This window comes from Homo sapiens, chromosome 3, assembly GCF_000001405.40.
Source record: "Homo sapiens chromosome 3, GRCh38.p14 Primary Assembly".
Taxonomy (NCBI): Eukaryota; Metazoa; Chordata; class Mammalia; order Primates; family Hominidae; genus Homo; species Homo sapiens.
In genome coordinates, this window is record NC_000003.12 from 189584594 (window position 1) to 189599640 (window position 15047).

At 38.3% G+C, this 15047-nt stretch overlaps 1 protein-coding gene across 1 annotated transcript in view, besides 1 other annotated feature; it reads left to right on the plus strand.

The window, feature by feature from the left end:
- Positions 2355-2494: an enhancer, noted in NCBI's record as "active region_20982". NCBI's record gives its function as "activates an Ori minimal core promoter by ATAC-STARR-seq in GM12878 lymphoblastoid cells {active_cell/tissue: GM12878}" and the evidence as "EXISTENCE:reporter gene assay evidence [ECO:0000049][PMID:35858748]".
- Positions 12153-15047, plus strand: part of TP63 (tumor protein p63) — a 300531-nt gene continuing 297636 nt past the window's right edge. Inside the window, exon 1 of the mRNA NM_001329964.2 lies at positions 12153-12645. Within this exon, the coding sequence (NP_001316893.1) occupies positions 12590-12645 (56 nt within the window). The 5' untranslated portion in view covers positions 12153-12589. The remainder of the gene's footprint in view (positions 12646-15047) is intronic.

Sequence of the window (15047 nt, forward strand, 5' to 3'; positions counted from 1 at the left end):
CACGTTGTGCACATGTACCCTAGAACTTAAAGTATAATTAAAAAAAAAAAAAAAAGCCAGCAGTCTGTTCTTATGTCATGAATTCAGCCTGAGTGAAGAAACCAGCCCTACCTGAAATGGTTGTCTTCATACAATGCACCCTTAGTGGTGAGTTATCTGTTGAACATAATCCCCAGCCATGCCCTAGGGAATGGAGAGCTGGTGCCAAATTCTCCCTTCAGAAGCACGTGTGTGACTCTGAACTGCATATTAGGGTGAGTTGTGGATAGTTGGGTGTGTAGAGAAGGAAGGTAGGTGAAATCTGTCAGCAACCATTGCATCAGAAGTTTTATGGGTTTTCCTATACTCAGACTTCCCATATTTGGGATTGCTGAATTGCTTCAGCTTATTTCAATGATCAGGCTAGATCTGTGGGTCTCAGCCAAAAGCATAGGGGACATCATCACTGCAGTGCCAGGAGAAACAGACTTTAATGAACTTCAGGGACAACCCCACGAGGAAGCATGACTCTTCCTCAAAAGGCCTTAGGGTGTTTGCAAAATCCAAAAATAAGGGGGCGGACAATGAGCTGTGGATCATTCTAAAGACAAGCAAGGGCAAAGTTGAAAAAAATGTTAAAATTCCCTTGCAAGAGAGTTTAACACCCCAGACACAGGCTGCGACAATGAGCAAGGAAGATGGTTATTCCTGTGGGATAAGGCTATACATTTTAGTGTTCCAGAGCAGCTCTAGAAGGAAGAGTTCCCACAGGTGAGGGAAGACCAGGTGAAACTGTTCCTGTAAGGACAAGGCAGACCTAGCTGCTCTTTGCCCTCTCTGATCTAGAGTGAAATCTCACCTCCTCTTCCCCAGACTCACACTGAAAGGAAGCGTTAAGACTTTCCCAAGGGCAGAAACCAAGAAGGATCCACTTAAACAACAACATAGAACACAAAAATCTTGAGTTTCAAAATAAAGACAGAGCAATTTTGAGTCTTAGTTTCTCTCCAGCTAGTGAAGTGACTTTGGGCAAGTCACTGAATCCTTAGTCTCCATTTTCTCAGCTGTAAGAGAGAGTAATATCTTCCACAAGATGTTGTTGTGAGGATCAAATTAGATCAGATATGTAAACACACACTCTTTAAAGTGTTCCTAATGAAAAAAAAATGCTCTTTCCTTCTTACTTAGCCAATCTTTTTTCCTATTTTAGTGTTTATAAATACTGAATGAGGACTGGATCAAGGGAAGAAAGGCAGTAGCGACAACCAAGTCACAAAAATCGAGAGCTTCCCCTAAGAAGTGTTTGAATTGCCTTTCCTTTGGGGCAAAGGAAAGAATGGATAAAATTATTAACTCATGAAACTCCCTCTGTACCAGGCATTTAGCATACATTATCTCATTTGATCTTCCCTCAAACCCCTTTTAATTGGCATACATACCCATTATTATTTTACAAATGAGGAAACTGAGGCTCAAAGAAGGTAAGTCATTTTCTCAGGATCACACAGTTAGCAAGTGGAGAAGTTATGATTCCTAACCAACCCCAAGCATGTTTCAATATGCTGTCACAAGCAACTCAGAGTTCCTTTGAGATGACAAGGCAAACTTATAATGCGATGTTCCAAGATATTGCCAAGGAGTGGAAAGTGGGGTCCAATTTGGGATCATATGGTAGTTTTATTTTTAATGTTTTTGAGGAACCTCCATACTGCTTTCCATAGTGGCTGTACTAATTTATATTCCCACCAACAGTGTATTCCTTAATTAATTTATTTTAATTATTTATGCTTCCGGGTAATATTTTAAGTTTGAAAATCAATGATCTAAGTACATATCCCTGCCTTTTGTAGAAGAAAAGCCAAGCCCAGGGAGGAAAAGAAATTGCTTAAAGTTACAAAACTGTTTAGCCTAGAGCACAAACTAAAAGTTGTGTCTCTAGTCTAGGGTCATTCTCCTAGTTAGATGAGACTTGTCTTAAGACTACAGCAAATCCAAGTCTCAAGGTGTTATCTTGTTCTGAAGTAAAGTTTTATATTTTAAGGACCTACTGAGCCGGAATGTTAATCAGATGCCTAAATTTCCCCTAAAGCAGGATCCGTAGCAATGGACCTAGCCTCAATTTCTCTACTATTTGAGCTGACCTATCGTATTGTTAGATAGTTCTGTTTAGAAAGCGCTTCCTTATATTGAACCTTATTTTGCCTTCCTGAAATTTTCTCCCCCTTTATTACCTCTAATTCGTCCTTTCCAGAAGAATCATTCAAGTTTTTCCATGAGCTCTTTCTGATCCAAGATGAATATTTACAAAAGCCTTCATTCCTCTTTGTAAAGGTATAGTTTTGTTACTTCTCCAACCTAGTCAAATTACTCCAAAAATGTTCCAGGATGTTTGCTTTTCTTGAAAGCCATGGCAGCTAGAACTGTACCCTTGGTATGGTTTCTTGGTTTGGAACACGATACTCCTCTGTTTGGAAACACCCTGTCATGAACGTAGCCTACATTTGTACTATTCATTTCAAATAGCCACACTACTTGACGACGACAACAACAACAACAAAAGTCCTATGTCTTTAACTTGTGCCTCTGCTAATCACATCACCCTTACTTTGTGCTTTTTCACTTCTATGTATGGTCCTAATGCAGAGCAGTTTAGTTTTCCCTTTTCAGTTTTGCAATATTTGATGTGGTTCGCTTTCCAATCTAGAAAATGATCCTTTGCACCCTCAGTGTGTCATCCTCTGTGTCAACCTCTGTGTATCTCTGAGATTATTTTTAGTAACTTTACCAATTTATCTCTCTCTTCTCTTTCTAGTCATTAGTAAGCAGCAAAACTTTCATTTTAGATAATTAGCAACACAGGGAGAGGAGATAGGCATAAAATAGTGGATGTGAAATTGAGCTTTCCTCCTGCCAAAATAGAGCTCTCACCAACTGCTTTTTTGTTCTTGCTGCTTTGATGAATCGACTGATTCATTAACTTATTTAAGATATGAGGAATTGAACCTTTCACTTTTTTCCTGCTACCTAATTTTCACTTCATCTGCATTAATAATAATAACTGCGTTGTGACCACCTGGAAATAATTGTACATCCAAATAATTGTCATCTCCTCTCTAGCCAATTTTGTAATTCAAGTTCCTTCTCTGGGAGAATTCAAGGAACTTCATTTCAGAGACTGTGCTGTCTTTAAATATTTTAAGGAATATCAAGGGTAAGAGGAATTAACATGAGGCCCCAAGAGGGAGAATTAAACATTTCATTGGGTAGAAATTGTAGTGAGTCATATTTTACTTTAATGTAGAGAGAAGAACTCTGTTAGAATCAATGCCATTTGGAAATAGAACTGGCCATCTTGTGAGGAAATGAGTTCCCTATCAAAGACAATGTTCAGGCAAAAGTTAGATATTACTTCAAGGGGCTGTGGAAGACTGCATCAGACAGAACATTTGATAACCTTTCTTATAAGATCCTCATCAGTCTGAGATTTCAGTACTCTGTAAAGACAGAACAACTGGAGAGGGTAAGAGAGAATACCTTTAAATATTTTAGCACCAGGGAAACATGCCTTTCTACCTTTTTAAGTTTCTTATATTTGTGGTAGTAAAATTCTAAGCTCAGAGTCTGTGCCTGATAAATTCTCTCTGAAGAGTTACAGGCAAAATGCCCAGTTTTGCCTTACAAGCCATGTAAATCCAGTAATAGGAAATTATGTACATTGAATTCCCCTTCCACCTTCCAAATGCCTAGGGCTGGTAAAAGGGCAGTAGAAACTAAGTGGGAGGAAGCTGGGTTTTACAACTTAAGATACGTTAGGTTGGTTGGTTGGATTTTTAGTAGTTTGAAGCTACTAATTTTTTTTCACACTCAGTATGTGTCCAGAGTTAACAAGAGAGATATTCTTATCACTGAAACTCAAGAAAAAAGGCTGATGAAGGCTGCATTTGGATACATGATTCCATGATTGCAGAAGAAAAAAGAACACTGTGAATCACGTCCTGACTCTTGAAACTTCTATCCAGATTCTGGGAAGATAGTAGTGGTGTCATGCCACTTGGTTTTGTAATTCTCTGCCTTTTTCCCTAAGGGGTTATTACTAAGCACCCTAGTGATAATTCCTTTTATATTTCAAGAGAAATATTTTCAAAAAAATTTCTTCTGTGACTCAGCATGATAAAACAACATCAGCCGGCACTATGCATTTTCAGTTCTCCCGAATCTTGGAATTGAGAGAGAAACAGCTAATTCTCTCCATAGGTTTTCGGTTATGAATTCTGTATCCAAGAAAGCTAGATCTGGAAAGATCCTTAGAGATCATCGATCCTCTCATTTTGTAAATGTGGAAACAAGGTCAGCAAAAAGGACTGGCAGTTCAATAGCATGTGGTGATTCAGCAATACAGCCTTCAATGACATAGATCATACAATGCTCTTTTTCAGTGATCTTTCTAAACCATGTGTTATCCCTTCCCAGAACTATTGGCAGGTGTGGTTTTATAATGTGCACTGCCTGGTATATAAATATGTATTACCTCAGAATTAGCTGAAATCAATCAGGCAAGTCACCAGTATGAAAAGCTATCCACAAGACCTCTTTTTATTTTGATAGGGTGGGGATTAGAAGCTAAAGAACAGAAGGACATCAGACACTTGAGTGGAAGGAGATATAGCCATTAATGTTGAAAAGAGATCAGAAAAAAGAAAGCCAAGAGGAGAGAACAAGTTGAACAGGAATATAGTATCAGTTCTATTGATTGTGGGTGCCAGTGGCAGCTATGCACAATGGTATCTGCCAAGTGCAGACATGCGGCTTCACTGGAATACTGACACAGAGCAGAGTGACACATGGTAGCATGCTTTGCAAGTTTATGAGTTATTGTCAATGCTTCCAACTTGATTATAAGGGACCTTTGTTCCAAAGGTTGTGTTAATTGAGGTATCACTGTAATGTTACACATGGCTTATATAAGATGTTGATAAAATTAGAAAGTAGGGTACTGAGATGTCTGGTTCCTCACCCACCTAGCCCTCCAAATCCCGCAGGTGGGCTCATTGAACTCTCTCTGGAGGTGAACACTATCGTAAAGTCTGCATCCAAAATCCATTCACTTTTTCATTTATTCATACATTCGTTTTCATTCAACAAACACAAGGATACCTGTGTTAGCAAGCCAGTTGCATCCACTAACACATAAAAGTCTTACAACAGCATGCAATAAGTTTGACCAGACCTCTTATATATGATCTTTTTATTAGCAATATTGAGGCCAGTCTATCAACAAACATGTTTCTAGATTTATCAGGTTAGTGTTTTTATATATATATATGTATCTAAAACACATTTCCATGATGCCTAAATGCCTTCATATATTGTTGTTAAAATTAAATGCATAACAAAATAAATATGCATTTCAAATGATTATATTTTATTGATTTTGCAAAGCTATAAGAATGAAAATACGACTCAAGGAAAACATAGCAGAGAGGAAAGTAACATCAGCAATATGGTGGTATAAGAGTCTCCAGCATATATCCTTTCAAAGAAAAATGAATTTAAAAACCATCCAGTCATAAAAATAACTTCACAACAGATAAGGACTCCAGATGAGAGATTGCGGTGCCTAGGTGGAGCACAGAAATGATAAAAGATACATTGAAGAGGTTATAAAGGACAGTTTCACACTACCCATGTCAGCCTCCTGCAAGCTCCTGGAGTGCACTGTGGAGAGAGATACCTTCAAGGTAGAGGAAGGAGAGTAAAGTCAACATTTGGTTTTGCCATGGACATACTCCATTAACTCTAGTGCCAGACTGGCTCCTGCAAACCGCAGCTCCAGGCCCGCCCTAGTGCCAGGCCATCCTCACTGGAACAAAGCACCAGCCAAGCCCTTGTGAACCCAGAAACCAGGTTTGCCTGCCAACTGACCCAGGATTCAGGTCAGCCCACCTGAGGACTGAAACAGCATGTCTACCCACAGACCCAACGAGCTGCTCACACAAAATTAAGCCAGCTGACTGGTAAAGGGCTTTCCTTACCAAAATCAGTCTGTAAAGATTAGAAGAGGTGCTTACTTCTTAAAATACACAGACACCAATGAAAGATATCCAAAAAAATCTAGAGAAAGGAATCAAAGCAAACCACTACAAAAAAAAAAAAGATCATCAACACACACCAAAAAAAGAAAAAAGAGAACTACTGAGTATATAGAAAATGATTAACCAAATGACAATAGTAATTCCTTCCTGTCAATAATACTTTAAACATAAATGGGTTTAATTCTCCAATCAAAGACATGGAATGGCAAACGTGACTAAAAAAAGAGAGAGAGAGAGAGAGATATCAAAATGTATGCTTCCTACAAGAGACTCACTTTAGCTTTAAAGACACACATAGGTTGAAAGTGAAGAGATGGGAAAAGATATGCCACATAAATGGTAACTACAAGAGAGCAGGGGTGACTATACTTACACAGACTTTAAGTCAAAAACTGTCACAAGAGGCAAAGAAGGTCATTATATAATGATAAAAGAATCAGTTCATCATGAGGATATAACAATTGTAAATATGCATGAACCCAATATTGGGGTACCTAAATATACTGAGCAAATATTACAGAAATGAAGAGAAAAGTAAACAGCAACAGAGTAATAGTAGAGGACTTATATAACCCCACTTTAAACAATGGATATGTCATCCAGACCGAAAACCAAAAATGATACAGCAGAATTAAACAACACTGTGACCAAATGAACCTGATAGACATATGCATAACACTTCAGCTAACAGCAGCAAAACATACATTTTTTCAAGAACATATGAAGCATTCTTCAGAATTCTTTATATATTAGCCCACAAAATAAGTCTTGACAAATTTGAGAAGATTAAAATCATCTCAAATACCTTTTCCCTACCACAATGGTATGAAACCCAAAGAAATACTAGGAAAAAAACAGAAAAAAGTCACAAATATGTAGAAATTGGGCATCCTATTCTTGAACAACCAATGGGGAAAAGGGAAATCAAAATATATCTTGAGACAAATGAAAGAAAAAAATATACCAAAATTCACTGGCTACAGCAAAAATATTTCTAAGTAAGAAGTTTATAGCAATAAATGCCTACTTGAAGAAAGAAGAAAAATCTCAAATCAACAACCCAATTTTACACTTCAAGGATCTAGGAAAAGGAGAACAAAGAAAGCCCAAACATAGTAGAAGGAAAGAAATAACACAAATAAAAGCAGAAATAACAGCAGAGACTAAGAAAACCCTATAGAAGAGATCAATGAAAGTAAGAGTTAGTTTTGCAAAGATAAACAAAATTGACAAACATTTACCCAGACTAAGAAAAAATGAGAGGGCTCAAATAAAATTATAAATGAAAAAGAGGACATTACAATTGATATGACAGAAATACAAAGGATCACTAAAGACTTTTATGAACCATCATATGCCAACAAATTGGGCAACCTAGAAAAAAATGGATAAGTTTCTAAAAATACACAACTTAACAATACTAAGTTATGAAGAAATAGGAAATCTGAATAGGCCAACAATGAGTAAAGAGATTTAATCAGTAAACTAAAACCTCCTAGCAAAGAAAATCCTATGACCTAATGCCTTCACTGGTGAATTCTAACAAACATTTATAAAGAATTAACACCATTTCTTGTCAAACTCTTCTAAAAAAATTAAAGAGGAGGGAACACTTCCAAAGGTATTTTATGAGGCCAGCATTACCTTGATAGCAAAGTCAGACAAGCATAATAAAAGAAAGGAAATTAGCCAATATTCCTAATTTACATATATACAAAAACCCTTCACAAACTACTAGCAGACAAAATTCAATAGAACATTAAAAGGTCCATACAGCACAATCAAGATTTTTTCCAGGAATGCAAAGATGGCTCAAAACATGCAAATCAATAAATGTGATATATCACATTAACAGAATGAAGGATAAAATTACGTGATCATCTCCATAGATCCAGAAAAAGCATTTGACAATATACAACATCATTTAATGGTAAACATTTCAACAAATCAGATATAGAAAGAATGTAGCTCACACAATGAAGGCCATATACAATAAGCCATAGCTAACATCATACTCAGTGGTGAAAAGCTGAAAGCTTTTCTTCCCAGATTAGCAAAGAAGAATGCTGACTCTCACCATTTATATTTAATATAATTCTGGAACTCCTAGCCACAGCAATTAGCCAAGAAAAATAAATTGGCATCCGAATCAGAAAGGAAGAGATGCAATGTTGTCTGTTTGCAGATACATTATGTATATTAAAAAAAAAACACTAAAGACACTACCAAAAAAAAACCCGTTAGAATTAATAAATTCAGTAAAGTTGTAAGATACAAAATCCATCTACATTAATTAGTTAAGTTTCTATATACTAACAACGAACTATCAAAAAGCAAATTAAGAAAACAATTCTACTTAGCCTAAAAAAATACTGAAGAATGAATTTAGTCAATATGGTAGAAGACCTGAAAACTGAAAACAAAAAATTGATTTTAAAATGAAAGAAGACACAAATACATGAAAAGACTTACTGTATGCATGGATTCAAAGAACTAATATTGTTTAAATGCCCACACTACTCAAAGCAACATACAGAGTCAATGCAATCTCTAACAAAATTCCAATGCCATCTTTTACAGAAATAAGAAAAAAAAATTTAAAATCATATGGAACCACAAAGCACCAAATAACCAGCAACCTTGAGCAGAATAAACAAAGCTAGAGGTGTCATAATACCTGATCTCAAAATATATCAGAAAGCTACTTTAATAAAAACAGCATGGTACTGGCATAAACACTGACATTATAGACCAATGGAACAAAATAGAAAGCTTTGAAATAAATCCAGGTATTTATGGTTTATTGGCCTTCCATAAAGGTACTAAGAAATACAATGAGTAACAGATAGTCCTTTTAATAAATGCTACAAGGAAAAATAAATATCCACACGCAGAAAAATAAAATTGGACCCTTGTCTACCACAATACACAAAAATCAACTCAAAATGGATTAGAGACTTAAACATAAGGCCTGAAGCTGTAAAACTACTGGAGGAAAACATAGAGAAAAAGCTTCTTGACATTGGTGTGGGAAATTATATTTTGGATATAACTCCTAAAGTTCAGCCAACAAAAGCAAAATAGACAAGTGGGATTGCATCACACTAGAAAACTATTGCACAGTAAAGGAAACAATCAACACAGTGAAAAGATAATCTACATAATAGGAGGAAATACTTTCAAACCATTTATCTGATAAGGGGTTTTATGCAAAATATATAAAGAACTGAAACAAGTCAATAGCAACAAAACAAATAACCTGATTTAAAAATGGGCAAAGGACCTGAATAGAAGACATACAAATGATCAGTAGTTATAAGAAAAAATGCTCAACATCACTAATCCTCAGGGAAATGCAAAGCGAAACCACAATAAGATTATCTCACAGCTGATAAAATAGTTATTATCAAAAATACAATAGATAATAAGTGTCAGGGAGGATGTCAAGAAAAGGTAACCCTTGTACACTGTTGGTGGAAATGTCAATTTGGATAGCCATTATGGAAAACAGTATAAAGGTTCATACAAAAATAAAAAATATAACTACTGTATGTCCAGCAACTCCACTACTGTATATATATCCAAAAAAAAAATTAGTAACTTGAAGAGGTATTTGCACTCCTATGTTCATTGTAGCATTATTCACAATAGCCAAGGTATGGAATAAAGTGTCCATCAACAAATGAATGGATAAAGATTATGTGGTATACACACACAGTGGACTTTAAAAAGGAAAAAAAATGCTATCATTTGTGGCAACATGGATGATCCTAGAGGAAATTATGCTAAGTGAAATAAGCCAGGCACAGAAAGACAAATACTGCACAATCTCACTTAAATGTGGAATTTTTAAAAGTTGAATTCATAGAAGCAGAGAGTACAATGGTGATTGCCAGGGTCTGGTGGTGGGGAGCAGGGGTGGAGAATGAGAGATGTGGCTCAAAGGGTACAAAATTTCAGTTATGCAGGATGAATAAATCCTGGAGATCTATATAGCACGGTGACTATAGTTAACAATAATACTTGAAGTGTGCTAAAAGAGTAGATCTTAAATGTTCTCAACACACAAACATATACAATGTTGTGTTGTTGGATTTGAGTTGATGGATATATTAATTAGCTTGATTGTGGTAATCATTTCACAGTATATATGCATATTAAAACATCATGTTGTATGCCTTAAATACACACAACTTGTATTTGCCAGTTACATCTTAATAAAGAGAAAAAAAGAGAAAAGCAGAAGCTTATATTATACTTTATGTTTCATTAAATGTTTGACTATCGTCAGCTGGTGTTAATGCAAACTAATATTATGTGTATATTACCGTTATTATGTAATGATATCACTCTAACTTTTAATATATAAGAAATTACTTCAGCATTTTAGATAAAACCTCTAGAGAAAGTCTCATGTAAAATATTTTCATTTAAAATCTCATTGTATGAAAAGGTATCTTTCTGTGTAACTGGCATATACTCTTTCCTTTTTGATAACAAAGTTTATCTATTGGATCGTATTTCCTATTGTGCCTAGACTGCCTAGAAACTCAGATTTAAACTGAAGTTCAGTCACAGAACCATATGGTTTGTATGGTTTGCTTAGTTCTCTTTTGCTTAATATCGAATGTTTAATTTCTTTTTGGTAAACAAATCTCACAAACAGCCCTTTTTATTAGCTGCCTCAATCTACTTTATTAAAATGGAAAATATGTTAAGTCATATATAGATTATAAATAAATTATATGTAGATTATTAAATCAACATTTATTTACATATTTAAACTTACCTAATCAACTTTGAATTTCAGCCATGAGAGAATAGTTTTTATTGTAGTAACCTTCCTGCTGAAGACAATTATAACTATTAAAACTATGTCTATAAAGCAAGTATTTAAAGGCCTATAAGAGCAAATAATGTAGGCCTGATTTGAGAACTATGAACTTGGAAATAATAAAAGTACAAATACTGAGCTCCAAATTTACCCTGGCATTTTACCTGGAAGAATTTTCCAGTTTTCATAGTACAGTATCTGAAAGTGGATGGTAAAGTACCCAAGTAGAAAGCACATTACTAGGTAGAGAAGACAGAGGTTGGAGGTTGTGGTTGCCCAAGTGGCTAGGGCACAAGGTACGAGATCCCAGAGAAGTCAAAACTTCCCAAATAAACTCCAACATCTTTGTAAATATTTCTTAGAGTCACTGTCCAGTGCCAGTTTGGGCATATCCAGGACTAGAAATCCATAAGAAAACAGTAGATTGGAAACTGAAAACACTATTGAGAGGTGACAGCGTGCTGGCAGTCCTCACAGCCCTCGCTCGCTCTGGGCGCCTCCTCTGCCTGGGCTCCCACTTTGGTGGCACTTGAGGAGCCCTTCAGCCCACTGCTGCACTGTGGGAGCCTCTTCTGGGCTGGCCAAGGCCGGAGCCCGCTCCCTCAGCTTGCAGGGAGGTGTGGAAAGAGAGGTGGGAGCGGGAACTGGGGCTGCGCGCGGCGCTTCCGGGCCAGCTGGAGTTCCGGGTGGGCGTGGGCTTGGCGGGCTCTGCACTCGGAACAGCCGGCCGGCCCCGCCGGCCCCAGGCAATGAGGGGCTTAGCACCCGGGCCAGCAGCTGTGGAGGGTGTACTGGGTCCCCCAGCAGTGCCAGCCCACCAGCGCTGCGCTCGATTTCTCACCGGGCCTTAGCTGCCTTCCCGTGGGGCAGGGCTCGGGACCTGCAGCCCGCCATGCCTGAGCCTCCCACCCGCTCTGTGGGCTCCTGTGTGGCCGGAGCCTCCTCGACAAGCGCCACCCCCTGCTCCACGGCGCCCAGTCCCATCGACCACCCAAGGGCTGAAGAGTGCAGGCGCATGGCGCGGGACTGGCAGGCAGCTCCATCTGCAGCCCCGGTGGGAGATCCACTGGGCGAAGCCAGCTGGCCTCCTGAGTCTGGTGGGGACGTGGAGAATCTTTATGTCTAGCTCAGGGATTGTAAATACACCAATCAGTGCCCTGTCAAAACAGACCACTCGGCTCTACCAATCAGCAGGAAGTGGGTGGGGCCAGATAAGAGAATAAAAGCAGGCTGCCCCAGCCAGCAGTGGCAACCCGCTGGGGTCACCTTCCACACTGTGGAAGCTTTGTTCTTTTGCTCTTTGCAGTAAATCTTGCTACTGCTCACTCTTTGGGTGCACACTGCTTTTATGAGCTGTAACACTCACCGTGAAGGTCTGCAGCTTCACTCCTGAAGCCAGCGAGACCAGGAGTCCACTGGGAGGAACGAACAACTCCAGACGCACCGCCTTAAGAACTTCAACACTCACTGCGAAGGTCTGCAGCTTCACTCCTGAGCCAGCGAGACCACGAACCCACCGTAAGGAAGAAACTCCGAACACATCCGAACATCAGAAGGAACAAACTCCAGACGCGCCACCTTAAGAGCTGTAACACTCACCGCCAGGGTCCGCGGCTTCATTCTTGAAGTCAGAGAGACCAAGAACCCACCAATTCCGGACACCCTATCAGAGATTTTGAAAACTATGAAGTGCTGGGAACAGAGAGACTGGACAGCCTTCACAAAGGTGGGGAAACCTTGGTAAGTACTCAGTTTTCAGTTGAAACCCAAGAAGATAAAAATCTAAAGGACCATGCATTAAGAGTAAGGACTATGCCTCCAAAATATGGGTAAAGCTGAAATAAATATGACTTAATATTAATAGGACTTACACATAGTCCAAAACCAGTACCTGACAGGTTTAAAGAGATATGCTCAAACTCTCTCTACCAGAGGAAATTTTAATCCTTTTAGGAGGAAGATAATATTATGTAGAATCTCAAAGATGTTTTGTCCAAAACTTCTAAAATCAAATTTAAAATGACAAAATGTGGTAAAAATAGAATCAAATGATCAAAACCTTAGAGAAATAGGTAGATAATTGAAACAGATTCATAGGTGGTTTAGATAATGTAGTTATGAGAAACTTAAAAATAGCTAGAATTGGCCTGGTGCGGTGGCTCATGCTTGTAATTCCAGAACTTTGCGAGGCCAGGCTGGGTGAATTGCTTGAGTTCAGGAGTTCAAGACCAGCCTAGGCAACATGGTGAAACCCCGTCTATACTAAAGAAAAGCAAGAAGTTAGCTGGATGGGGTGGCTCACACTTGTAGTCCCAGCTACTCTGCAGGCTGAGTTAGGAGGATCACCTAAACCCAGGAGGTCAAGGGCTGCAGTGAGCCATGATTGTACCACTATACTTCAGCTTAGGCAATAGAGTGAGACCCTGCCTCAAAAAAAAAAAAAAAGTTAGAATTAATATTTTGAAAAATAGAAGGAGATGTAAATAATTTTACCAGAGACTTAAAATTTACAAAAAGTCAGATGGAAGTTATAGAACTGTAAAATACTGAAATGAACTTATAAATTCAATACACTGTTGAGAAGAAGCAAAATAACAGACTAGTGAACTGAATGACAGGTCAGCATAAAATATCTACACTGAAGCAGTAAAAAGAAAAAATGAAAAATAAGAAAAGATTTTAAGAAACATACGAAACACAATAAATAAAACAAATCTAGCATGCATATAATTGGAGTAGAGATGGAGAGGAGAGGAGGGGAGAGGAAGGGAGAGTAGAGGAGGGGAGGAAAGGGACAGCAGGAGAGGGGAGGGAACGGAATGGGAGAGGAGAGAAGGGGAGGGGAGAGGAAAATAGGGAAGGAAAGGCGAGGCAAGAGAAGAAGTAGGGGAGAGAAAGAGAGTGAAAGATAAAGCAATATAGAAAGAAATTGTGGCCATTTTTGAAAACACGTAATAAAACATGAAACCACAGATTCAATAAGCTCCCTGAACTTCAAGCAGGCTAAAGTCAAAGAAAAATATTTAATCAAAGAAAAATATTTAATCACCAAAAAAGGCACAAACAAATATACATACAAGCTTATTTCAACATTATGAAACCATACATAGCACCTTTGAGATCCGGATATCAGCCCGATAACAGAAGTAAACCACTATCTCCAGCTGAATACTGTCCAGTGAGAACCAGAGGGCTGGGACTAAACTAGAATTCCAGAGCCAGCAGAGTGTTGGCGCAGCCTGGCCTGCAGTCCAGGATATGCAAGGTCAAAGGAAATCTGAATGACCATAGTCACAGGTAAGGCATTCATCTGAATAGTCTGTGTAGAGACAGAAATCAGAATCATAGAGTTTCTTGGATCTATGGGCAGAATCTAGAGGCCCCAGAGAGTCAGCTTTTGGAGAATAGCAAGTGGAAGGCATATCTTAGAGGGATTTCCCAAGGATTGGAGGCGTAACTGCGAAGGCTTTTTGCAGGGTACCCTAACCTTGCCCACAGCAAAGCAGAGGCTGAAGGAGGAAGCAGGTTTGGATAATGTCCAAGCTCACTTCAGAGTCCTTCCTCTTCTCAGACCTTTTTTTCATGTTTTCACTCTTAAAGTTTGTAACTTGCTTCAACATTATATTTACCTCCTTAGATATCAGTTTCCCTTCATCCACCTTTAATTCAAACTTTACGTTTATAATTACCTCATTGTTCTGTTTCTGTTTTCCTACTCTTTGTTCTTAGAATCTGCTTGCAAATTTCTTTAGCTTTTGGCCAATTTCTTGTTACAACCAGCCACTTTGCTTTCTCAACCTCATCCTTGTATTCAACTGGGCCTGGAAGGGTCATCAATAGTCTTGGGTGTCAGCTTCTTTGAAATTTGTGGACCCATCAATTCCCATAATGTATCATGGCTTTGGACTTGTAACCACAGCCTGATTTCTCAGAGACTCTTTCTGTTTTTGCCAGCCATCATCCTCATTTTGAAACTGGAGTGCTTCAATAAAATAATGAATTAATAATATTCTTTCTTACAAGAGTGGGAGAATACCCAAAGTGAATAGTGATGGGAAGCCCAATCAGCAACAGGATAGTAGCAGTGACGGCGATCATGGCAGTCATGATTAATGAGGTCTACCAGTTTCTTCTATGAGCAG